Genomic DNA, 25,897 nt, shown 5'->3' with positions numbered 1-25,897 from the left:
TGGGAACAAAGGCTCTGGAAAGTCGACAGCAACGGATACGGAGACGTGAAGGTTACCCTGGACGGGCCTTTCTGTGCATCGCACCCCAGACTACCCCCTTTGCTCACTCAATTCCTCCTCTCCAGGCTAAACTTGCTCTCTGCCGTCAATGTCCATTCTTTCCCTGGTAACCTCTCGCCCACGTCCCGCAGAGCCCACGCTCTTCCCGCTCTAGGATTCTCTTGCCCTCCTCCTTTTCCCTCTGCCTCTGGCCTCCTTTTCTCCTCTCTCGGCGTCTGCCTCCTCCTGCCTCCTCCTCCCTTTCTTTCCGGGAAGCCCCTCGCTTTCCTTCCCACCGAGCCCCGACCTCGGGGACCAAGTCAGGGGTCGGGGGCTGCAAGTGGATCCGCTGGAAGGGCCGGGCAGGGTGAGAGTTGGCGGGGCTGGGACCCGACGGGACGGAACGGGACGGGACCGGACGGGACGCGGCGCGCCCTGCAGGCGGCCCGGGGCGGGGAGAGCGGGTCCTGCCCCTCCCGGGCGGGCGCGCGGCCGGCCCGAGGGGCGGTCCCTGGGCTCCCGCTCGCCGCCGCTGCCGCTCCTCGTTCTGCTCCTCACTCCCCAGCGGCTGGAGGCCGGTACCGGCGGGCAGGAGGCGCCCGAGGATGTGCTGCTGGCCGCTGCTCCTGCTGTGGGGGCTGCTCCCCGGGACGGCGGCGGGGGGCTCGGGCCGAACCTATCCGCACCGGACCCTCCTGGACTCGGAGGGCAAGTACTGGCTGGGCTGGAGCCAGCGGGGCAGCCAGATCGCCTTCCGCCTCCAGGTGCGCACTGCAGGCTACGTGGGCTTCGGCTTCTCGCCCACCGGGGCCATGGCGTCCGCCGACATCGTCGTGGGCGGGGTGGCCCACGGGCGGCCCTACCTCCAGGTAAGCGCGTCTCCTCCCGGAGCCCGCCCGGCCGAGCCCGGTCCCGTCCGGACCCCAGAGAGGGCGCAGGTGCGGGTCGTCCCCGGGGCCCGCAGCTCTCTCTCACCTGGCGCAGCCCCGCGCCCCCGGCCACGCTCACTCTCGCCTCCGCGGGCAGCGCCTGCTCTCCCGGAGCCCCAGAAGGCGCGCGGTAGGGAAGCCGAGCACGGATGACCCCAGGCAGGTTTCCTTCTTTGAACACTTTCCTGTCCCCAGCGCCCCACTTAATAGACGCCCCCCCGCCTACACACCTGCAATACACCCCGCTTCATCCCTGATGGGAAGGGAGAAGGACCTAGGCTTTGGCTTTGGGGACCTAATGGGACAGCTCTCAGAGGAGGGAAGGGACAGAGCGCTTTAGTACGTCGCGGACTTGCTGTCTAGGAGTGGAAATCTCAGAACTTCCCAAATCGTGGCTATTTGGGAGCCTCCAGGCGCGGGGCTGATGTCAGCTACACCATTCTCCAGAAGAATGAAGGGCCCCTAAGAATCGCTTAGGGACTTTCCTATTCCGAGAGCTGTTCAGGAAGCCACATTTAGAGACCAAAATCGAAGGTCCCCAGGCAAAATATCCTATGAAGTGACAAAACTTTGGCTTACTTTAATAACCAATAAAGTTAATTTGACCGCTGCTGATTTACTTTGAAGGAGCCTAAGTAACCACCTTGCCTGTTCATGGGTGCTTTACTAAATAGAAAGAAAAAAAAAAAGGAAGAAGAAGATTGTGAGATGACCAGAATGATTAGGTGGCTAGGTTTCCTGGACATCCTTGCTTGATCGTGACCAACGTTTGGATGGCGGTGAACGTACACGCTTTGTTATTATAAAAATTCATCCGAACATACTGCCCTTTGCTAAAAGTCTTGATCCAGATGAAAACTCCGAATTGTTCTGGCATTGCATTAAGGCTTTGATAGTATTTAAATCAGTGTTCTCCGTGGATTTAGAGTGCGCTTCTTAGTAATTTTATCCCCAGGTTCTTTTCGACTGAAATATGCCATCAAACTTGAACGCTGATTCTGGCACTGAGCTGTTAACTCTGGAAGGAAATAAAGTGACAACAATAAAAAGTTCAAAACCACTCTATTATCTATTTTTTCATAAATTAATCGTTTCTTCCCCCAAATAAGTAACTTTACAACTCCAATAAAATAAAGTTTTATGAGGATTGCATTCTGCTGAAGTCACTGATGTATAAATATTCTCCTCCTGCAGCATCTCAGACATTAACTTTATGAACCAAGTATTTGACCACAAATGCAGGCCTCACTAGGGGAATGACTCATTCTCCTGTAATATAAAGTAGACAATACCTTATTTAAATACCTATTTAACGTTTTTTAAAAAAGAAATTTTACCGTTTAGGGAGAGGAGTATAGTATGCCCCTTAACTATCCTTGCATGTTCTACAAAAGGGAGCATAACTCTTACTATGCTAATATTATAAAATGGGACATACTTTGAATGTTAACTCCATATTATTTTCCCTCAAAGAGTAGCATTTCTAGAAAGCCCAGCCAATTGTATGTCAAATGAAAAGCCGTGAGTAGAATTCTGATTCAACATGCCATAATAGGCCCACCACAAAGATAAACTTGGTTAAACTACAGTGTTTTCACCCTGTTTGTGGTTCTTCATAGAGATTGCATAGGACTTAGTTAAGTACTCTTTAGATTGATTTTGAAACATAGAAATTTTCTTAAAGTAATTAGTGAATACACATCACTATGAGATAAATTATGACTGGCTGCATTCTCAATACATTTAATGAGCAATAAATAGGACTTCCCGTCCATTTTTATTCCTAAGGAAATAAAATCATTTTTACATGTAAAGGATGATCGTTTTCTTACTTGGCTGACATATTTTACCTTCCATTTCCATAAACATTCTACTCATTTTAGGACATATAAAATGCATTAAAATTATGCTATTCAATTAAATGGAAAGACAGTTAACTTAAAATCTGTTTAATAAGATGAAATACACCAAATAATATAAATGAAATAAATGTATCAATTTCAGTTTTATTATTCAGGCTGAATGATTCCATTCTCCAACGCTCGAAATTCAGTCTCCTCTCTAGAAACTATTTATTTAAGGTTCTTCATACACTAGTGTGAGAAGAGTATTTTCAGCAACTATACCAAAAAGTGAATAGGATTCTCTTTTTTTTTTTTTTTTTTTTGACAAAGTCTCTCTTTATTGCCCAGGCTAGATTGCACTGGTGCAATCTCGGCTCACTGCAACCTCACCTCTCAGGTTCAAGTGATTCTCGTGCCTCAGCCTCCCGAGTAGCTGGGATTACAGGCGCCTGTCACCATGCCAGGCTGATTTTTGTATTTTAGTAGGGACCGGGTTTCACCAGGCTGGCCAGGCTGGTCTCAAACTCCTGACCTCAGGTGATCCACCTGCCTCGGCCTCCTAAAGTGCTGGGATTACAGGCGTGAGCCACCACGCCAGGCCATAAATAGGATTCTTAAATGTAGCATATTTGATTCTATTAGTAGACTTCATGTTTTGTGTAATTTTGCTCCCGGCGAGAACAACATTTATATAGAACAATGACACAAAAAACATTGGCTCCCGGGGCATCAATAAATGCACAGCAGCCACTAAGAGTTGGACAATTACACCAGGGTGTATGATAATAACCTAAGTTGCTATCCTAGTCACCTCATCATGTGGCTTTTTGGCATGTATTTTATTTTATCCTTTTAAATTTAATTTTAAACTAAAACTTTAGTTTTTAAAAATTTTTCTGACTTTTATTTTCCTAATTATATTAAACTCTTCTTTCAAAAGGGTGTTAACTCCTTGAGAACTATGTAAGTGTAAATTTTTATCGATCAGGTAGAGAATCATTGGCTTAATAGATGTCACAAGTCCAAATGTCTATAGATGTCAGGAAATAAATCTAAGAGTGACTGGAGGCCATTAACTTAAGTGAAACAAGCTAGATGCAGAAAGATAAATACTGCATGTTCTCACTTATAAGTGGGAGATAAATAATGTGTACACAAGGATGTGGAGTGTGGAATGATAGACAATAGAGACTCAAAAGGGTGAAGGAGTGGGAAGGTGTGGAGGAATAGAAATTACTTATTTGTTACAATGTATGTTATTTGGGTTATGGATACACTAAAAGCCCTGACTTCACCACTATGCAATCTCTGTGTGTAAAGAATCTGCACTTGTAACGCATACATTTATATAAATTAAAAAATGAGAAAAAAGAGTGATGAGAGCTTGAATGGAACAGGCAGGATGTAATGCAACAGAGAGGAGATGGCACTGAGGGAACTGGGGGTTTTGTGAGTGAATTACTGTTAAAAAGGAATGTAAATTCAGTATTGCCAGATCTTCTGTTTGTTCTTTTATTTTGAGAGAAGACAAAATTTAGATTCTCTTTACTCTTTCTTTTTCTTTCTTTCTTTCTTTCTTTCTTTCTTTCTTTCTTTCTTTCTTTCTTTCTTTCTTTCTTTCTGTCTCTCTCTCTCTCTCTCTCTCTGTGAGTGTGTGTGTGTGTGTTTAAATAAAAATCTAATTACTAAATACTGGCAACAATTCAACCATCATATAGTGTGCATTCACACACACTCACACACAATTTCAGCTGGGATATATCTTATAGACAGCCTAATCTGGGACTCAGAGAGAAAGTCTAATGTTAATAAAGAATCAACCCAAATAATGAAAATTCATGAAAGGCAGAGAAGCAAGTCCCATTTCTTTTTAGGCCAGTTCTATTCTATGCCAGGAAATGGGTCCAGTATTGGGGGCTTTGCCCATTGTTCTGGCTGTCTATTCTTGGTAACAAACCATCTCCATACAGAGTAGCTTAACGCAATGACAAATTTCTTTTGCTCACAAGTCTGAAATTTGGTGGGGACAACTCCAAAGTGGGTGGTTGGAAGAATATGAAGCCTTGTTTCCTTGAAGTTATGGCTGGCAGTTGATGTTGGCTCTTGGCAGGGACCTTGCCTGGTGCTGTGGTAGGATCATAGCCTCTCTGTGTGGCTGCTTGACTTTGTCACAGCATGGTGGCAGGTCCCAAGAGGGAACCAAGAGGCCAGGTGGCAACTGTACAGCCTTTTATGACTTAGTCTTTCACTGTGGTCACAAGCCCACTAGATTCAAGAGGGAATGTAGACTCTATCTGAACATCACGTAAGAAGACAGTCACATGGGAATTCAGCAGTGAAGCCCCAAGTCTTGGACTTTCTATGTTGGGGGAGACTTTTTATTACTGATTCAATCTCATTACTGATTGTTGGTCTATTCAGGTTTTTTAGTTCTTCTTGATTCAGTCTTGGTAGGTTGTATGAGTCAAGGAATTTATCTATTTCCTCTAGGTTTTCTAGTTTGTGAGTGTATTGTTGTTCATAATAGTCCCTGATAATCTGTTGCATTTCTTTGATATCAGTTATACTTGTCTATTTTTTCATTTTTGATTTTATGTGGGTATTCTCTTTTTTTCTTGGTTATTCTAGCAAGTTGTTTATCAAGTTTGTTAATCTTTTCAAAAAACTAACTTCCTTTTATTGATCCTTTGTATTTTTTTTGTCTCTGTTTTGTTTAGTGTTGCTCTGATCTTTATTATTTCTTTTCTCCTACTAATTTTGGGTGTGGTTTTTCTTGTTCTTCTAGTTTTTTTTAGGTGAATTATTAGATCATTTATTTGAAATCTTTCTACTTTTTGATGTAGGTGTTTGTTGCTATAAACTTTCCTGTTAGCACTGCTTTTACTGTACCCTATAGGTTTTGATATGTTATGTTTCCATTTTATTTCAGAATTTTTTTTTCCTCTTTAATTTCTTTCTTGACCCATTGGTCATTCAGGAGTATGTTGTTTAATTTTCATGTATTTGTGCAGTTTCCAAAGTTCCTCTTGTTATTGGTTTCCAGTTTTATTTCATTGTGGTCTGAGAAGATACTTGATATGATTTCGATTTTTTAAAATTTGTTGAGACTTGTTTTGTGTCCTCACATATGGGCTGTCCTAAGGAATGTTTCATGTGCTGATGAGAGGAATGTATATTCTGTAGCTGTTGGATGAAATGTTCTGTAAATGTCTGTTAGGTCCATTTAGTCTAATGTGTAATTTAAATCCAATGTTTCTTTGTTAATTTTCTGTTTAGATGACCTGTCTAATGCTGAGAGTGGGCTATTAACGTTCCTATTACTGTGTTGGAGTCTATCACTCCCTTTAGATCTAATAATAATTGCTTTATAGATCTGGGTGTTTTGGTGTTGAGTGCATATGTATTTAGAATTGTTGTATTTCTAAATATATATGCAGCTCTTGCTGAGTTGATCCCTTTATTATTACATAATGACATTCTTTGTCACTTTTTAGTGTTTTATACTTAAGGTATGTTTCACCTGATATAAGCATAGCCACTCATGCTCACTTTTGATTTTTGTTTGCATGGAAGTTCTTTTCCCATCCTTTAATTTCAGTTAGTATATGGCTTTACAGGTGAGATGAGTATGGTAAGCAGTGTATAGTCAGGTCATGTTTTTTAACCCATTCAGCCAGTCTGTATTTTTAAGTGAAAGTTTTAATTTGTTTACATTCCGGGTTATTATTGATATGTGAGAGCTTATTCTTCTTATTTTATTAACTGATTTCTAGTTGTTTTGTGTATCCTCTGTTCCTTTCTTACTCTCTTATTTTTTATTATTGTGGTTTTGTGGTTTTTCTGTAGTGGTAACCTTCTAGTCTTTTCCTTCTTTGTATGTTTGCTCTAGTAGTTTTTATATTTCATGTGTTTTAATGATATTAGATATTGTTCTTTCACTTTTGGGTGTAGGACTCCCTTGGCATTTCTTATAGATCTGGTCTAGTGGTGATAAATTCCCTCAGCTTTTGCTTGTCTGGGAAAGACTTCATTTCTCTTTCATTTTATAAAGAATAACTTTTCTGGGTATGGTATCCTTGGTTGGCAGTTTTTTTTCCTTTCAGCATCTTGAATATATCAGCCCATTCTTTCCTAGTCTATAAGGTTTCTGCTGTTAGTCTAGTCTGACAGACGTACCTTTATAAGTGACTTGATGCTTTTCTCTTGCTTTTTTGAGTTTTCTCTGTGTCTTTCACCTCTGATATTTTGACTATAATGTGCTGAGCAGAAGAACTTTTTGAATTGTATCTATATGGAGAACTTTGAGCCTCTTGTTTCTGGATATCTAAAGTTTTTTGCAAGACTTGGGAAGTTTTTATCTATTGTTTTGTTAAATAGGTTTTCTAACTCCTTCATTTTCTCTTCACCTTCTCAGATCCTAAATTCAAATACTTGGTCACTTTATGATGTTATATAGGCTTTGCTCATTCTTTTTTTATCCTTTTAATTTATTTTTGTCTGAGTTATTTCAAAATACCTCTCTTCAAGTTCTGAGATTCTTTTGCTTCATCTAGTCTGTTGTTGAAACTTTAGAATGTATTTTTTATTTAATTCAATGAATTCTTCAGTTGTAGAATTTCTGTTTGGTCTCTTTTTTTATGACATCTATCTCTTTGGTAAATTTCTCATTTATTTCCTGAATTGCTTTTCTGGTTTCTTTGCATTATTTTTCAGTATTCTGTTGTGTCTTACTGAGCTTCTTTAAAATCAATATTTTGAATTCTTTTTTGGGGGGTATTTCTTAAATTTCTTTTTGATGAGAATCTGTTGCTGGATAATTATGGTGTGCCTTTGGAGATACCATATTTCCTTATTTTTTCATGCTTCTTGTGTCCTTACATTGATCATTTGTGCATCTGATATAACAGTTGCTCCAGTTTTTTGAATTTGCTTTCATAGGGGATGACATTTCTTGAAGATTTATCTACGGTGTTGGCTGGGTAGGGCACTTTGGCCTTGACTCTAGGTGTGGGTGGTTGTATAGTCTCTGTGTAATTTTTCCAGCTGTAAACAGTGTCAGTGGTGTCTGTGATTTCCTCAGTGGTTTAGGGTGTGATTATTAGTGGAGGTTGTGGTGAAGTTTTGCTGGGAACTAGGACATTAGGTGGGCCAGTCTTTGGGCCTCAGTGGTGGCAGCAGTGGGTTGAGCATTAGCCTCTCCAGGTGCTGGGAATATCATGGTGGGTCAGGAGGATGGGCAGGTTATCATGCTTCTGGGTAGCAGGTATGCTGTGGCAATGGCAGTAGCTGTGGTGGGACAACTTTCTGGAACCCAAGTGGTCAGTGCTGGTGTTGGTGATGTCCATGATGAACTGGGCAAGCTGGTCCTCAGTCCTGCAGATGGCACATGAAAATGTATAGCTGCCTTTTTGTTGGGGTGGCAAGGTCACTTCCAGTGGCTCCTGCCTCAGCCCAACAGTGGTGTCTGTGGGTGATGAGTGTCAGTTGGGCTCCAGGGATATGGAGGTGCAGGGGCTCTTGGGCCCCCAGGCAGAACACATTCTGGCAGGGGCGGGGCTTTCATAATGGCACAGTGCTGCAGCTGCTTAGGACTTGGGGGTTTGTAGGACTCAGCATGAGCTCCCTGTCTAGAACAATGCCATTATGTGATCTCTAGGCAGTTCTCTGTGAGTCTCAGGGCCCATGAGAGTCCAGGGGCTCTCCTATGGCTAGCATTGTAGAATTCTGTGGCAGGAATGTGGACCACTTGGTGTCTCTCACTTACCCTTTCCTCACATTAAGGAGCCTCTCCGGGCTCCCAGCTGATCCCAGCTAAGCTGGCTTCCTTGCTTCCCTCTCCTTCCTTGCTTTCAGTGCTTCCCATCACTTCTCTGTTGAATTCCAGTATTCTCTCTCAGATGATCTATTCAAAATGTGATTATCTAATTGCTATTTTAGCTCCTCTCTCTGGAAAAGGTGAGTACCAGATGCATTTAGTCAGCCATCTTGAAGCTTCCTGTCTACATGCATCCTTTCTCTGTTGGCACTACTGAAATTGGGGGCAATCTTTACTTATTCTCCTTTCCTTTTCCCACCCCCTTCTCTGTCTGACACACACACACACACACTCACTCCACTCACAAGGAGTTGGAAGCAGTTGGTAATTTTTCAACTGTCCTCCTATTCTATACCCTCTCCACCCTAGAAAAAGACTTCTGAAATTCAGCAACCATATATTTTTCAGTAGCTGGCAATCATTAATTCAGGGTTAGATCCAATGAGACTACCTCCAGAGGGCAGTGTGACATTTACCTGCAGACCTGTGGAGTTAAGAAATCAGATTTTACTTAAGGCCACAGGCCCTTTAAAACTATATCCAGGGACCTGGCATATGGAAATTTGCGCTGCCCATTTTAACCTTTTTGACTCCTTCTGGAGATATTTCCGCAAAGAGGATATTAACAGGTATGATCAAGATGGGAAAGAAAAGAGAGAAATGTGGTTGTAAAGTGAAGCCTATCTCAACATAATCTATTGGATAAATTGTTCTGGAGCAGCTCATGCTTGTGGAAACATTTCCCTTGAATGCTGCCGAGGTCAGTTTCTACACCATCTTTCACAGAAGTGTCAGGGTGAGGTGGGAAGCCATCTCCTTTTGCACTGGCTTTTCAAAACCTCACTATTTTGTCTCAGTGAATCAGTTCAGCTCTCATTGCCCTGATGGATTCATGTCCTTTCCTTGTTCTTTGCCCCTTTTTGACACAGAGCAACTCCACCCCCGCCCGAATCATTTAGCAACTGTGAGTGCCCATTTGAGGCAAGTAATGCAGCCGATGAATGCTGAGTTTGTGTGAATTAGAGAAGAGAGCAACGTTGTTGAATATGCCTGTTGAATTTGCATGAAAATTGATTCACCCTTCTTATGGGGGTATAAATCGCTGGTGAATGGAGGCTGAAACATATGTTATCATTTCTTACAGCCTTGCTTGCTTGTCTCAAAAACTGAGGCCTGTGATGCGAAGTGTCTTCAGCAGCAGGGTAATTGCTGCCGGGCCACTTGCTGAGGAAGTGCTTGGAACTGATTTGAAATCACAGAAAACAGTGAGCATTCTTTGTGGTTAACGATGTGCTTCTTTTAAGCACACCCCAGCCAACGGCGACAAAGAAATGTTTGGAAAGCAAATTGAAAGGCTGTAAGGGAGAGATGAAGAGAGTGTGCAACCCTGACACAGCTCAGCTGGTGCTTTGTTAAGAGATATTTATAAGTCTTCAGATTATGCCCCCCAATTTCCAGGCAACGAAGAGACTTCTCCAAGTGTCGTGCTTTGTGCATTAGTAATAAGGACACATGCTCCACAGTAATGCTGGAACACAGGATGATGCTCTTCAGCTGTGTGCTTCTTCCTGGCGGAGCAGATGATTTCATAATTAGCCTGAGGAAACAGGCAGACCTAACAGCCAAGGAAACAATGCACCTGAATTGACAAACGAAGTTCAAGGCTTTAGGCAACCAATGGCATATTTCTAGAGTGTTGGAAGGAGAGGCAAGAGTCTACTTCAAAGAAACTGAATGGTGGTTTATTGATTTTTCATTTGTAATAGAGCCATATTAAAATAAAGTTACTGGTGAAGGGGATGAATTCATTACACATTGTCATGTTTCTGGAAGTATTTGATCCATACGTAATACAAAAAAACTGCGTATGGATGACTCACAATGCTTTTTATTGTAACTTAAAAAAAACTGGTAAAGAACTTTTAAACAGGAAAAACATTTCTCCAGGAAGCTTCTTCTAAATCTATTTCTTTTTAACTTGTTAAATTTCAGTAGAAAAAAAAAGCTGTTCATAAGGACACCATATAGCATATACGCAAAAATGTCTGCAAAAATAATTTCAAATGGATAATTTTTATTAACTGTAAGCTAGGGATTGTATATCTGAGTATCATACAAATAATGTATAGATCAGATTTAATTTATTATGAAGGTCTATCTTATTCATCTAATTTAGCCAAACATTGTGAGAAAATCTTGACGCCATTCTTTCTTTTATGAGCTAAATATTGATTTTTGCATATTTACTCGCTGCCTCTTAAGAGCTCATATTTCGGTTGATTCCCCTCAAACCTCCTACTCTTCCTTGCCTCTCCCCTCAATGTTTCAGGTGAGAAAACTAAACCTTAGGTAACTATTAAATGGCGTATTGGGCCATACAGATCAGCAGCCTGGATTTATTCCTCTGAGTCCCAGTTTGGTACTCTTCTTCTCCTGAAAGCAAACTGTAGCTTACATAAAAACATATGTTAATTTTCCTCCTAAATAGTGAAAGAACATGTATAATCAGATACATTTTAAACAAATTGATAAAATGAAATCATGGCATTTCTCTTACTGCTTTTATTCCACTATAAATGGCACACTGACACATTTCCATAATATGATTTTTATGATTTTTCATTCATCATATGCCATACCTTGTGATAAGTCCTTACAGTGTGTTCTCATGCAATTCTCGTGATAGTCCTGTGAGGTCAATATCTTATTACTCTCATTTTGTAGGTGTATAAATGTGGGCCTTCATGTCACAAAGCATGGAAATTGTCTGTGGCTGTCATATGACTGTTTCAGGAAAGTACTCAGAATGTTGGAATGTTCATTTACTGAATATTCACTGAATGTTTATTGAACACTTCGAGATGCTGGGGACACAACATTGAATGAGATAAAACCATTGGTATCACGGAGCCCGTATTGTGGTGGTGGGGGTAGCATTAAACAAATAAATAAGCAAGAGAAACATCAGAAAGTACTAAGTGCTAAGTGCTGTGCAGATAATTAAAACGGAGTGATGTGATAAGCAGTGTGTCTGTGTGGCTATTTGAGATCAGGATGCTGATACTCAAAACATGAAAGAAAACAAGTGTCCCAAGTTTTGAAGGTTGTCTTTCGACGTTAACCATAGTGTGTACAATTCAAAGCATTATGTACTATGAAGAAGATGATCTGGCATAGGCATCAAAGAACTCAGTAGACCTTGAATACAGGAAACTACCTACCTGGGGAAAATATAATTAATGTTTTTTTCAAATGTGTCTGAACCGCATGAGCTCTCTTTTCTATTTCTGTGGCATTGTTACACAGATGTTTAGTAAGCTCAGCTAGAGTCTTTCAAGCTTTGATCTAGAGACTTGGTGATTTTATAGAAGTTTCTTTCTTAATACTAGGCGTTGATGTATTTCTCTTATATTCTGTATTCTTTCTCATCTTCAATAATATTAGAGAGCTAAAGGCCTTTGAGAAGACAGATCAACAAAAATGTATGCCTGAGGAAGATTTCCATCTTTCATGCAATTTTTAAACTAAAACTTTGAAATCTCAAGTTTCTTAGGAAAAACTAAATGTCTGCCTTTTTTTTCTATGAAGTTTATACATTGAAACCTCACTTATAAAAGGAAACTCATGACAGATGTAACCAGGTAGACACTAGGCCTCCTGGTACTTGGCAGACCCAGATCCTTTTGGATAGGGCCAAGATGAGTTCATGCTATGGCAGATTGCAGTCCAGTCATGAGCAGGCCAAGTTAATAGAGAAGTGAGAACTGGGAAAGATACTTTTTATTCCTATGTCAAAATTTCAAGTTCATCTGCACATTAGAATCACTTGGAGATGTTTTAATAATTCCAGTGCCCAGGCAACCCCATCCCCCACCAGTCAAAGCACAATCCTTGGGAGGTGGACACAGGCATTAATATATTTTTCAAGTTTCTCCATTGATTCCAATGTGGGCCAAGTTGAGTAACTACTGACCTTATATGGTTAGGTTGTTTGATAGGAATCAGGCAATTCAACCTGCAGAAGCATGGAAAATTGCAGACATAGGACATGGGGATACAAAGCAAGATTCCATACACAGCCATTCAGAGTGACCATCTGATGTTTTAAACAAGGGCTAGCATGTGCTTGCACATTTAAGATTATTTTTTAAGATAGGAAAATAAGCTTGGTTTTCCTGGCATGGAAACCCTTCTGGGATAAGCTTAATGAGTAAGTATTTTCTCTAATTTATATAGTGAGGGCTGGGCACAGTGGCTCATGCTTATAATCCTAGCTACTCAGGAGGTTGAGGCAGGAGGATCACTTGAAGCCAGGAGTTTGAGGCTGTAGTGAGCTATGATTGCACCACTGCACTCCAGCCTGGGCAACAGAGCAAGACTCTGTCCCCCAAATAATAATAATAATAATTTATGGACTGACACAGCAATCGTTGAACTGAGGGTAGAGGTGTGTTTCAAAATTTTCTGAACTAGGAGCCTTTCTTTCATCCTCATAGCCCTCTCCCATTCCTACACACCTTTTGTCAACCGGTACCAGCTGCTGTATTTCTAAGCAACACGAATAACTGCACACACAGAGTTTAAAATTTAACAGTTGTGTGTGGTCACAGGGCGTCAAAGCAATGTTATTTCATTTCATTAGTAAATGAAAGTCCTAGGTAATTCTAGGCTTGTATTTAAGCCAAGAGAAGTATTCTTCTCCAAAGTCTTTTATTAGAATTAACAGTAACAAAATGGACCCCCTTTTTATTCTGAAAAATTCTCCAGCGTCTTTCCAGTTATGTAAATAGATATCCCTTCCCTTCCCTTTCCTCTCCATTCTCCAAGGTTACTAATAAGCAGTGAAATGCCCTCAAGCTATAGTTGCAGAAGGGAGGAGGAGGAAGAGTAACAGCAGTGGTGGATAATTAGTATCTTATTAGAGTATGGAAGGAACATTTGCAAGTTGATGACTGTGTCAATGCTGCCAAATCTTCTAGAGGTACCAGGAATGATTCCATGTGCTTGGCAGATATTCAATAAATATCTGCTGAGCGGTAAAGAGCAGGAAATCTTCTAGACGGGGTGTGAATCCCAGCACTGCTTGCTGCTTATTCATTGTGTGGCCCTTGGCAAACTCCTTAACCTAAGTGACAGTTTCTTTCTGTGAAGAAGGGAGATCATATTTAATGCATGGGCTTTTGTGAGGATTAAATGAAATAGGCATGTAAAATTCTTAGGAGAGTATGTGACACACTGAAAACACTTAATAAATACAAGATATAATGAATCAATCGCTTAGTGTAATGAGACGATGGTCAGAAGACCACATGAAGACAAATATTCCAGCTTTTGAACTTAGGGGAAAGGTCTCCACTAAATATATAGGTGGGAGAGATTATAGTAATTTTTGAAAAAACTTCGAAGTCAAACTTGAAGTAATTGGTTTGTGAACACCTTGTAATCATTAATGACTAGAGACCAGTATGGTTTCAGTACACAAATTATACAAGACTGCATTTTCTTTTGCATTTGATTTGCTGGACCTGTAGATTAGGGTATTAAATATAAGTGCATCTGAGTAATAGTAAGGTATTTTGCAGGGTTTCTCACTATATCCTTGTAGAGGATGCACTAATAAAGTTGAATTAGTTATAATCCTAAATATTTTAAACCTATACCCAAACTCTTTTTTTTTTTTTTTTTTTTTTTTAGATGGAGTTTCACTTTTTTGCCAGACTGGAGTGCAGTGGCGCGATCTTGGCTCACTACAACCTCCGTTCCCCAGGTTAAAATGATTCTCCTGCCTCAGCCTCCGGAGTAGCTAGGATTACAGGCGTGCACCACCATACCCGGCTAATTTTTGTATTTTTAGTAGAGATGGAGTTTCACCTTGTTGGCCAGGCTGGTCTCAAACTCCTGACCTCAAGCGATCCACCTGCCTCGGCCTCCCAAAGTGGTGAAATTACAGGTGTGAGCTACCGTGCTCCACCCCAAACTCATTATTAATAGACTGGCTACATTAGGTTACATAATGAGGACTTAAAAGATAGCGATATTCTTAAATAATAAAAGGAAACTAAAAGTTAAAAATTCATTGGGAATACAAGTAAAGTTCAACAACTCTGTTAAAAAATGATCTGTGCATGTACACAGTATAAAATTGTACTTAACTGGAATTCATAGGAAAAAGCTCTACGTATTAGCTATATTGTATTAGCTCAATACAATGTGGCTGCCAAACAGATAAATGCAACATTAGCCTAAAATTCTACTGTTCATATCAAAGGAAGTAATATTGACATAGCACCCTATCTTAGGCTGACCACACCAGAGGACTCCTTCTGGAAATAGCTTTTAATGGACATATGGATAAACTGGAGCATATCAAAGAATTACAAGGATGGTTGAAACCTTGGGAAATCTGAGTACCTGAGGAAAAAAAAACAGCTGGCAATATTTTGCCTGGAGAAAGAACAATGAGAAAGACATGATCATTGTCTTTGGCGTTGTAGTGTACAGTCTTGCTCAGGAAAGGTGGATTAGTGCCTACTTATTAAGCCCCAGAAGAAAGAAGAGAAGACCCAATAAATATAATGAAAGAGTAGAAGAATTTAGCTTACTATAAGGAATACATTTCTGACAAGCAGAGATATTAAAATTGAGTAGATTGCCTTGTAAGATTGTGAGATCATGAGCATTGTCACTGGAAGTATTAAATACTGTGTGATCATTTCTTAAAACATTTTTGAGACAAATTCTCCTTTGGTGGGAGCTGGGATTAGGTTTCCTTCAGCCTGTCTTCCAACTTACGTGTGATGCTAAAATTACTTTGCATTTACACTTTCAGGTTATTCAAGAAATGAATGGAAGGGAAGACATTAGCAACTATAAAACTGTCTATATTGCTTTTTCACCTGCCTCAAGAAGTTTGCCTGGTCTCTGGATAGATATGCATTGAATCATTATCATCACAATGGTTATGAGATTATTTCATCTCTTTTCCCGTTTTTTTTTTGTTTTTTTTTTTTGTTTTGTTTTGTTTTGTTTTGTTTTGTTTTTTGAGACGGAGTCTCGCTCTGTCGCCCAGGCTGAAGTGCAGTGGCGCGATCTCGGCTCACTGCAAGCTCCGCCTCCCGGGTTCACGCCATTCTCCTGCCTCAGCCTCCCAAGTAGCTGGGACTACAGGCGCCCGCCACGAAGCCCGGCTAATTTTTTGTATTTTTAGTAGAGACGGGGTTTCACCGTGTTAGCCAGGATGGTCTTGATTTCCTGACCTCGTGATCCGCCCGCCTCGGCCTCCCAAAGCGCTGGGATTACAGGCGTGAGCCACCGCGCCTGGCCTTTTCTTTTTTTTTTTTTGAGACGCAGTCTTGCCCTGTCGCCCAGGCTGGAGTGCAGTGGCGCGATCTCGGCTCACTGCAAGCTACGCCTCCTGGGTTCACGCCATTCTCCTGCCGCAGCCTCCCGAGTAGCTGGGACTACAGGCGCCCGCCACCACGCCCAGCTAATTTTTTGTACTTTTAGTAGAGATAGGGTTTAACCGTGTTAGCCAGGATGGTCTCGATCTCCTGACCTCGTGATCCGCCCGCCTCAGCCTCCCAGAGGGCTGGGATTTACAGGCGTGAGCCACCTCGCCCGGCCTCTTTTCCTGTTTTTAATTTCAGTATATTGGTTGGGCTCAGTGGCTCACGCCTGTAATCCCAGCACTTTGGGAGGCCAAGGCAGGCAGATCGCTTGAGGTCAGGAGTTCCAGAGTTCGAGACCAGCCTGGCCAACATGGTGAAACCCTGCCTCTACTAATAATACAAAAATTAGCCAGGCATGGTGGCAGGCACCTGTAATCCCAGTTACTTGGGAGGCTGAGGCATGAGAATCGCTTGAACCCAGGAGATGGAGATTGCAGGGAGCCAAGATTGTGCCACTGAACTTCAGCCTGGGTAATGGAGTGAAACTGTGTCTCTAATAATAATAATAATAATAATAATAATAATAATAATAATTTCAGTATATTTTGAATTCTCTATAGTTGTTATGTATAAGTTTTGAAATCTGAAAAAATAATTAAAAGAGGGAAAAGAATGTTTTCTGACTGGTATATACTCAAAAGAAGGTGGAGGGCTTCAAAAGCAAAGCTGAGCGTGAAGTTTCTGAGGTCCTGAGCCCCTCCCCTGGTGGTACATTACTTTGACCTAAGAACAGTCTACATGTTCTCTGCCTCCTGGCCTTCCTTCTGGGTAGGCATCTTAAACTTAACCTGACTAAACTCCAACCTGTTTCCTTCCCAGGCTTCCCCATCTCTACAAATGGCACTTCTTGTTAGCTTTAGCTCCAGTCAAAAATTAGAAGCCATCCTTCTTTCTGCTCCTTCCTTCACCCAATATATAAAACCCATCGTCAAGTTCTATTGACTCTTCCTCGAAACTAAATCTAACACCTGCCCACCTCTCTCCAGTGATACTACCACTCAAGCTTGAACCTGCAGGACCACTGCCAGGCTCCTGAGTGTCTTCCAACTACCATTCCTATTCCTTCTTCTCCTCATTCCTCACATGGAAGCCACAGAAATACAGAGATACAGATACAGATACACATTATGCCACTTGCTGCTTATAGCTCCCTACAATGGCATGTAAGTTATCACAGTGTTTAGGGCCTCATCTGATCTCTGCTGACCTCAGGGACCTCTTTGGGCACTGTAATTCAGTCCCACTGGCTTTTATTTGCTTCATCCCACTGGATAACCCAACCTCCTGTCCAGGCCCTTTTCAATAGCTAATCTCTTCCTGGAAACTACTTTCTCCACACATTGCATGGATGGTTCCTAATTGTGGTTTACTTCTTAGCCTAAGTATCATTGCCTCAGTGGTGACTTTTCTGATCACTCACCCTGAAATAGCCTTCTGATCCCCCTGTTATCTCTGTTTTATTTTTCTGTAAGTATTTATCTAAAAATTGTTGGATATTTTATTGTTTAAGTTTCTTTAGAAATTGTCTGTCCCCCCCAACTAAACTATAAGTTCCATTGTCTACTGTCCAGTATAGTCATGTATCCTCAACCCTACATAAGGTCTGAAGAATAGTAACTCAATAAAGTATATGCTGGGGAAAGAAAGGAGAGGGAAGAAGGAGGAAAAAAGGAAGAATGAAAGGGAGGGAGGGAGGAAGGAAGGAGGAAGGAAGGAAGGAAGGAAGGAAGGAAGGAAGGAAGGAAGGAAGGAAGAGAGGGAGGGAGGAAGGAAGGAGGAAGGAAGGAAGAGAGGGAGGGAGGAAGGAAGAGAGGAAGGGAGAGAGGAAGAAAGGGAGGGAAGGATAAAGGAAAGAACTAGTTTTAACTTCAAAATTTATTCCTTGCAAAAAATAGACATAACCAGTTAAGATAATTCATTTTTTTTTGAGACAGAATCTTGCTCTGCCGCCCAGGCTGGACTGCAGTGGATGATCTCGGCTCACTGCAACCTCCACCTCCCGGGTTCAAGTGATTCTCCAGCCTCAGCCTCCCGAGTAGCTGGGATTACAGGCGCCAGCCACCACAACCGGCTAATTTTTGTATTTTTAGTAGAGATGGGGTTTCACTATTTTGGCCAGGCTTGCCTCAAACTCCTAACCTCAGGTGATCTGCCCGCCTTGGCCTCCCAAAGTGCTGGAATTACAGGTGCGAGCCACTGCACCCAGCCATCATCCAAATTTTTTAAAAATTAAGGTGATGGGATAGGATGAAGGCAAAGTAGTATCTTATTCAGATGGTGTAGTCTGAAATTGTTTTTTCCACTGAAATATATTATTCCAAATAAAGAGTCAAAATTTTGATTTTATGCTGTATCTTTCATGATTCTATAATTATAGCAAGGTATTACATTATCCTACGTGACAACTGAAATGAGACAGTTGGCATGGGAGAAAATTCAGGATGTTCATTTTTAGAAGGTGACACTTAAAGAACAAACAGGTTGCTCAGGTGGGCCTCTTTCTCATTGGAACACTAGCTACAGGGTTCATATTTTGGCATTTTAGTAGGTATTTAACAGATCCCTTATTAGACATAGACAGTTTCAGCTTTATCTGAAGTGGTTTCTAAAAGGTAAGTGCCTTCTATTTTGACATTCCACTTAAATTTCTAAGATTACTGAAGAAATAACTTATTAAGATCAGCTTATATTGAACTCTGAAGATTGTGTTTATATAATTTGTTTGTACAGCTCTGTGATTTTTTAGGATCAAAGATTCCCTTTAACACAAAATATTTATTATTATACTATCAATATTATTAAACCACCATAACACTTATTGTAGAAATTGATATTATAAACAAATGTTTGAAGTAACGAGGCTTTTGAGATTTAGAAAAAGAAAAACTACAAGCACCTGTTGAAGAAAATGATGACAGATGGTAACATTTTTCTCAAGAATCTCCCTGCAGCTGTGCTTACATTCAGTTTTCCAAGCTCAACCAAGGTCTATTCATATCTTTTATTATACCCGTAAGAGTTTTTACTTCCTCCTGTGTAACACAGCACCAGTCAAAGATTTTATTTGAGAGAAAAATAGACTGACAATGAGTGAGAACCAATTTAACATCTGTGTCATCATGCTTTTAAACAAGAGGTCATAGCAAGGTTTTTTTGGTATATGTTATCTCAGTTTGAAAGTGACAGCAAGTACTGAGGCTATCATGCTAAATAACAGATGTCAACTTACTATCAGCTTCTAATGGCAATTTCTGTTATTGTTGCTACATAGCATTTTGAAACCTCAAGTATATATTTCATACATTTTTCAAAGCACGAAGTGTTCAAAAGAAAAAATATCTTGTGACAACATGTTTCAGGAGTAATAGTCTACGGTACAACTGAAAACTAGCTTTATTATTGGAATTGAATTATTAACTCATTTTCAGGTGTAACAAGTAATTTTTATCTAAAAATGTATAAACAAGCTAAATACATAATCAATATAATCCACAAAACCAAAAAAATCATACCTCAGTGATGATTCATATTGAAACTGATCTAAATCAAAGTGTTTGAATTAGAATATGACTGAGAGCCACATAAAGCCATTTATATAGAATAACATTACCTCAAGTATATTTCACTTTGCAGATCATTAATACTGTATAAATGTGAGAATGACTTCTGTATATCAGCTTTTATATTTACATTTTAAAAAACATCTACTTTTTTCCTTAAATTCTTACAAAATTTATACAGAATCATGATTCTCTGAATCCTCTCTATCCTTCTTACCCACATAAAGTCTAATTTTAATGATTCTTAATTGGAGTGACTTTTATCAATATTGTATATTTATGATATGTGTATATGATATGTTAAATACGTATATTATACAATTACATTTTTATAATGACTGTGATATCAGGCCATGACAACGAGAGTGCACAGTGATCAATATTTCTATTTTTATTTTTCAAATCCTGGAATATAAAGCACCATAGGAAGATAGCTGAGGAATGGCCTTTACCATGAGTGCATAATAGAGCTGCATTTGATTCTATTTGCTAAATAAAATGAGGAGTGGGTGAGGATGTCATTTGGTTCTAATTCTAAAGGTGAAATCAGATGTAGTGAAAATGATGTAGGAAGTTTTCTTAAGTATCTGTTAAGTACTATACAGTATGGTTTTGTGAATGTCAACTTCTAAGTGACTTTACCTGTATTCAAACTCTTAATTGGTCAATGTTTTACTGTGTCTGTTTCATTCTCTAGTATTTTTCCTAGAGGATGATAGTAACACAATAACCTATCCATTGATTATCCACTTGAATAACATTTATCCCTTTGTCAGACTGTCAGGAGACTTAAATTCATTTAACACTTTTTTTCAGTTTAACCAATCTGAATCTCAAGACTGATGGTTTTATTGCTGACTGTGCTTTCAGTGGCTTGCTTTTTTTTTCTCCTTCTATTTCCCTCTTTTCTTTTCGGCTTTTCATCCTCTAGGCAAGAATAGTTGAATGCTATGAAGTTTAGGATCCCAATTTTTTTTTGCCTTTTTCTCTTCTTTTACTTCATTTAATTGTGCTTTTAAGATTGGCCAATATGCCACTTCTGTTGTATAATATTGACAGCATTAAGGCTGTGTTTGATTACAGTCCATGTATTTTCTTAATACAGACAGAAGAAATAAGGTACTACTGGGGAATACTTTGGTCTCATTAAGTTAAACTATTTCTATACCACAAAGCTGTGAATATCAGATGATAGGTTCTTGTGTTTTATCTTTTATTTTCAAAATTATCTCCTTATTTAGATTTAACAGAAAGAAAAGCAGGATGCTCCTTTTCAAATATATGCATGTATTTCATGAGCATCTTCAATATGCCAGTCACTTTGTTAGGTACTGAGGATATAAATTAACATCAGAAAACCTTCTGAAACATGACTTCTCCCTCTTAGATCTATTTTTTTCTTATTTATTTAAAATAGGTAGGGGATTATCTCCTTGTGTAAAAGGATTTAAAATAGTTGTTGCATGTATAAACCCTTTTTTTTCTGAATACTAATGTCGGTCTCCTAAGATTCATGTGCGTGTAGGGGCTAAAAGGTCACAACAACATTCCCAGATTTCAGTGCCAGATGTGTCTGTATGACAGATCATGCAGACCCAAACTCATTCTAGCATCTGGTTAAACACAATCCATATCCGGTCTTAACCATGTGTAAATATAATTAAGAGCAAATGGGAAAATAATTGTCTTCCCCCCTTTTTTTGTTCCATTGACAATGTAAATAAGTATTCTAAAGGCACAAATTTATAACTGAAATACTAAGATTAACTTTTGAATTCTAGGCAATTATCACATGGTTGAAAAGATAAGGCAATGCCTAAAATAGATTGCATGCTACATGGGAATGTAAATAGAGGAATAGGAATTCAGAGAGGGAATGATCACTTCTGGTTGGAATGATCAAAGAAAACTTCATAGGGGAAATAGAATCATGAGCCTTAGCAGGAAAAAGAGATTCAGTAGGTGGAGTTAGTGGAGAAGATATCTTAGTTGAATGAAGAGAGTAGGGGGATAGGGAAGAAGAATGTGAACAAAAGCAAAGAGCTGGGAAAAGGCAGAGTAATTGAAGGGAGCAATTAGTACAGGTCCCGTGGTGAGATTGATAATAGGTAACCTGGAAAGCCAGGTTAGGCTCAATGTGAGGAAACCTGGACTCTAAATTATAGACTTTGTACTATATACTGTTGAATAAAATGCAATGACACACTGAGGGTGATTTTTCAAGGAAGACTATGACAGAGTATGTAAACGTGGAGTGTGGGAGATAGGAACAGTGAAAATGAAATAGAACTAAAAGGTAGGTTTGTTTTCAAAGGAAGACTTGATAGAAGCAGGGGCTATGTGTGGAGATGTGAGTCACAGGAAAGAAGTTAAAGAAAACTACAGGCCGGGCATGGTGGCTTACACCTGTGATCCCAGAACTGTGGGAGGCTGAGGCAGGCAGATCACTTGAGCTCAAGAGTTTGAGACCAGCCTGGGCAACGTGGTGAAAACTCATCTCTACAAGAAATAAAATTGAACCCAGGAGGATGAGGCTGCAGTGAGCTGTGATTCCACCACTGTACTCTAGCCTGGATGACAAAGTGAGACCCTGTCTCAAAAAAGAAAAGAAAAATAAAGACTACAGTTTTGAATTTAGATAGCTAGGAGAATAGTAGTGTAATTAAAGAAATTCAGGAACTCAAGTAAAATATGAATACAATTTTGGATCCATTGCATTTGAAATGACAATAAGACTTCCAAGTGAAAAATACTTTTGAATATGTGATACTGAATAAAGGTGATAATTTGTAACTATTGGAGCAGATGAGATTCCCAAATGGTGAAATATGAAGACAGAAATATAATTTTAAGGACAGAACTTTGAAGTCCTTAGTTAGAGAATGGGAGGTGAAAATAGAGTCAGGGAATAACAGAAATAAACTGTTCAAGGTGGACAATCACCTGTAGGGCTTTCCACGTGGAGAATGTGCCTTGCTTTGTTTCCCGGACTTGTTCCTAAACTTAGGGGGAAGAATTCAGTCTTTTATCATTAAGTATGTTAGCTGTAGGTTTTTTATAGGTGCCCTTTAAAGGGTTGAAGAAGTGCCCTTCTATTGCTAGTTTACTGAGGGATTCTGCAGTGAATGAATGTTATAAACTGTTTTTTTCTTCATTTATTGGGTTCATCATATGGTTTTTCTTTTTTAGACTTTTGATGTGCTAAATCATATTGATTGATTTTCTAATGTTAAGACAACTCTGCATGATCATGCTATATTATTCTTTTTTTATGTTGCTGGCTTCTATTTGCTAAGAAATATTTCTATTTCTATTTTTAAGGAAATACCCATCTAGGTCCATGAGTGTTGATGGTGTGTAGTTTTTTTGGTAGTGTCTTTAATTTTGGTAACAAAGTAATGCTGGTATAAAAAAAGGAATTAGGAACCCAGGAGGCGGAGGTTGCAGTAAACTGAGATCGCACCAAGCTGACATCATGCCATTGCACTCCAGCCTGGGCAACAAGAGTGAAACTCTGTCGCAAAAAAAAAAAAAAAAAAAAAAAAAAAAAAAAAAAAAAAGAGGAAGTGTTCTGTCCTCTTTCATTTTCCAGAAGAAATTGTGAACAGTTGGTATTACCTCTTCCTTAAATATTTGGTAAAATTCCAAGTGAAAGCATCTTGGCCTAGAATTTTCTTAGGAAGGTTTTTACCCATGAGTAGATTATAAAGCTATTCAGAGTACCTCTGTTTTTCTGAATGACTTTGGCTGGTTTTTGTCTTGTAAGGACTTTGTTTCTCATCTAAAGGATCCAATTATTTGGCTTCAAGGTAAGCATAATATTATTAACCTTTTAGTGTCTGTAGGATCTATTGTGATGTTTCTCCATTTCATTTACATCTATTTTCTATTTATTCCATCTTTGCTTTTTTTAATCTTTTTCTGCTTTCTTTTACAATCAGTATTTTTATTTTGATTCCATAAAGTAGATATTTTTTAGGATAGAAAGAATGAAAATGGGAGCTCTCATGCATCATAACTGAAATTCTCTCAATAAACTGAGATGTGTGATCATAAGCTGAGGGTGGGGAAATTTCGGAATCTTGCATAGAGAAGGTTTAGACTATTTGTTTTGGGAGGTGTCTTCAGAAAATAGCAAGAGATTAACATGGATTTCCAGCCATTAGTGAGGGCCCAGCTGAAGTAAACATGTTAAATAATAATATTATTTGGATAGCTAAGGTGTATTATAGTCAAATCTGAAGATCTGCCTCCAAAATAGGACCTCAAAGTTGGAAAATATGAAAAAAAAATTTTTTTTTTGAGATGGAGTTTCTCTCTTGTCACTCAGGCTGGAGTGCAATGGCGCAAACTTGGTTCACTGCAACCTCCGCCTCCCAGGTTCAAGCAATTCTCCTGCCTCAGCTCAGCCTCCCGTGTAGTTGGGATTACAGGCACCTGCCACCACGCGCGGCTAGTTTTTGTATTTTTAGTAGAGACGGGGTTTCACCATGTTGGCCAGGCTGGTCTCAAACTCCTAACCTCAGGTGATCCACCCCCCTTGGCCTCCTAAATTGCTGGGATTACAGGCATGAGCCACTGCGCCCAGCCTGTGAAAAAAATTATAGTGGAATTACCATGGTGGTTAGGTTAGTTCATATTTAAATTTTATTTCAAATAAGATCCAACCATATTTTCCTTCAGTAAGGTTGAAGATATGAGCTTCTTTTAGACAACTGCTTCTTTTTTCCGGGAGTTCAGAACTTTGAAATAATTGGCAGCTGTCTTTTCTAAATATTAAGCACTCACTTGGTTACATAGGGCAGATGGCGCAAGGGGTCATCAACATAAGTTGAGTGAAGTTTCTCTCATTTTCTAATAACTAAGTTATCTGAAAAGCCAGAAAAAGGTGGAATAGCTGGAAGGAGTTGGTATTGTTGAGTGGAAATAGAATGAGTGGAAAATTGGCAAACCAGCTGGATATTTTGTGGAAATAATGGTTTTGGAAACATATTTGCAAGACTCGGATAATTATTCTACTCTTTGAACTGATTACAGTTTGTATTGTATTGCAAAAACTGCTTGGATCATGTAATGAAATATGAGTTCAGTGAAAAGGCACAGTTAACTGATCTAAATCTCTCATTGTCTACAGACATTGTTATTTCATTTACATATTGAAAATCTATGTGATGAAAAATGGGAAAATCACAGACTCACAGGAGTATTTCATTTAAATTGCTTTCACAATTGCAACCCAGTTCTCAAAATAAGAATTTTGACAAACCTCAACTTTGGCAGAAGAAAAGTAACATTTTATGTGAAAAACTGACATAGCTAATTTCTGGAGACAGAAAAAAATAAACAAAAATAAGCGTACCCATCCTATCCCAGCAGTGGCCACTACACTGTAGAAGAGTGAAAAAGGATCCAGACTCTGGGGCCAGAGTGCCAAGGTTTGAATCCTGCCTTTCGGTTTACTAGCTGTAAATCCTGGGCAAGTCGCTTAGCCTCTTTGTTCTTTGATGTCTTCATCTGTAAAATGGAAAAATAGTTTTATCTGATAGATGTGATTTGAAGATTAGTTTAGTTAATACATGTAACAGGTGTAAACAGGGCCTGGTGCATATAAGAAGCTGTAGTTGGCCGGGCGCGGTGGCTCACGCCTGTAATCCCAGCACTTTGGGAGGCCGAGGCGGGCGGATCACGAGGTCAGGAGATCGAGACCATCCTGGCTAAAACGGTGAAACCCCGTCTCTACTAAAAATACAAAAAATTAGCCGGGCGTAGTGGCGGGCGCCTGTAGTCCCAGCTACTTGGGAGGCTGAGGCAGGAGAATGGCGTGAACCCGGGAGGCGGAGCTTGCAGTGAGCCGAGATCCCGCCACTGCACTCCAGCCTGGGCGACAGAGCGAGACTCCGTCTCAAAAAAAAAAAAAAAAAAAAAAAAAAAAAAGAAGCTGTAGTTATTGTTACCATTGTCAAGAAAGGTGAGTTAGACTCTGCATTGCCAACAATTTGGGGTTTTAACATACTAAAGAAAATCTAGATGTGGTACCCTGGATGGGAAACATATGCACACTTATAATTACCATACAAAGATGCTTGGAATAAAAATGCCAAATGCCATCTATTTGAGTATGACTTTTATAGACAATGGGAGGTTTTATCTTATATATTACATTTTCTCAGTCAAACATAGCTATAAATTCTTCAAATACAATTTTACTGTTAGCAAAAGTAATTATAATTATGTTTCAGCATGTATATTCTAAATCAACTGT

At 39.7% G+C, this 25,897-nt stretch overlaps 1 protein-coding gene across 4 annotated transcripts in view, besides 3 other annotated features; it reads left to right on the top strand.

Annotated features, from left to right (window-relative positions):
- Positions 383-522: a silencer, noted in NCBI's record as "silent region_17549". NCBI's record gives its function as "represses an Ori minimal core promoter by ATAC-STARR-seq in GM12878 lymphoblastoid cells {active_cell/tissue: GM12878}" and the evidence as "EXISTENCE:reporter gene assay evidence [ECO:0000049][PMID:35858748]".
- Positions 543-712: a silencer, noted in NCBI's record as "silent region_17548". NCBI's record gives its function as "represses an Ori minimal core promoter by ATAC-STARR-seq in GM12878 lymphoblastoid cells {active_cell/tissue: GM12878}" and the evidence as "EXISTENCE:reporter gene assay evidence [ECO:0000049][PMID:35858748]".
- The window catches only part of MOXD1 (monooxygenase DBH like 1), a 105,421-nt gene continuing 80,119 nt past the window's right edge, over positions 596-25,897 (top strand). The window contains exon 1 of one of the 4 annotated variants that reach the window (XM_017010714.3): positions 596-803. In XM_017010714.3, the coding sequence (XP_016866203.1) occupies positions 645-803 (159 nt within the window). In that variant the 5' untranslated portion in view covers positions 596-644. Of the gene's footprint in view, positions 909-9,811; positions 10,365-15,566; positions 15,586-25,897 lie in introns of those variants that run through there. The other 3 variants (NM_015529.4, XM_047418622.1, XM_047418621.1) reach the window with 3 other exon arrangements.
- Positions 843-892: a silencer, noted in NCBI's record as "silent region_17547". NCBI's record gives its function as "represses an Ori minimal core promoter by ATAC-STARR-seq in GM12878 lymphoblastoid cells {active_cell/tissue: GM12878}" and the evidence as "EXISTENCE:reporter gene assay evidence [ECO:0000049][PMID:35858748]".

This window comes from Homo sapiens, chromosome 6, assembly GCF_000001405.40.
Source record: "Homo sapiens chromosome 6, GRCh38.p14 Primary Assembly".
NCBI classification, from domain to species: domain Eukaryota; kingdom Metazoa; phylum Chordata; class Mammalia; order Primates; family Hominidae; genus Homo; species Homo sapiens.
Note: the sequence above shows the minus strand (reverse complement) of the source record. Positions and strands in the feature narration are given on the sequence as shown.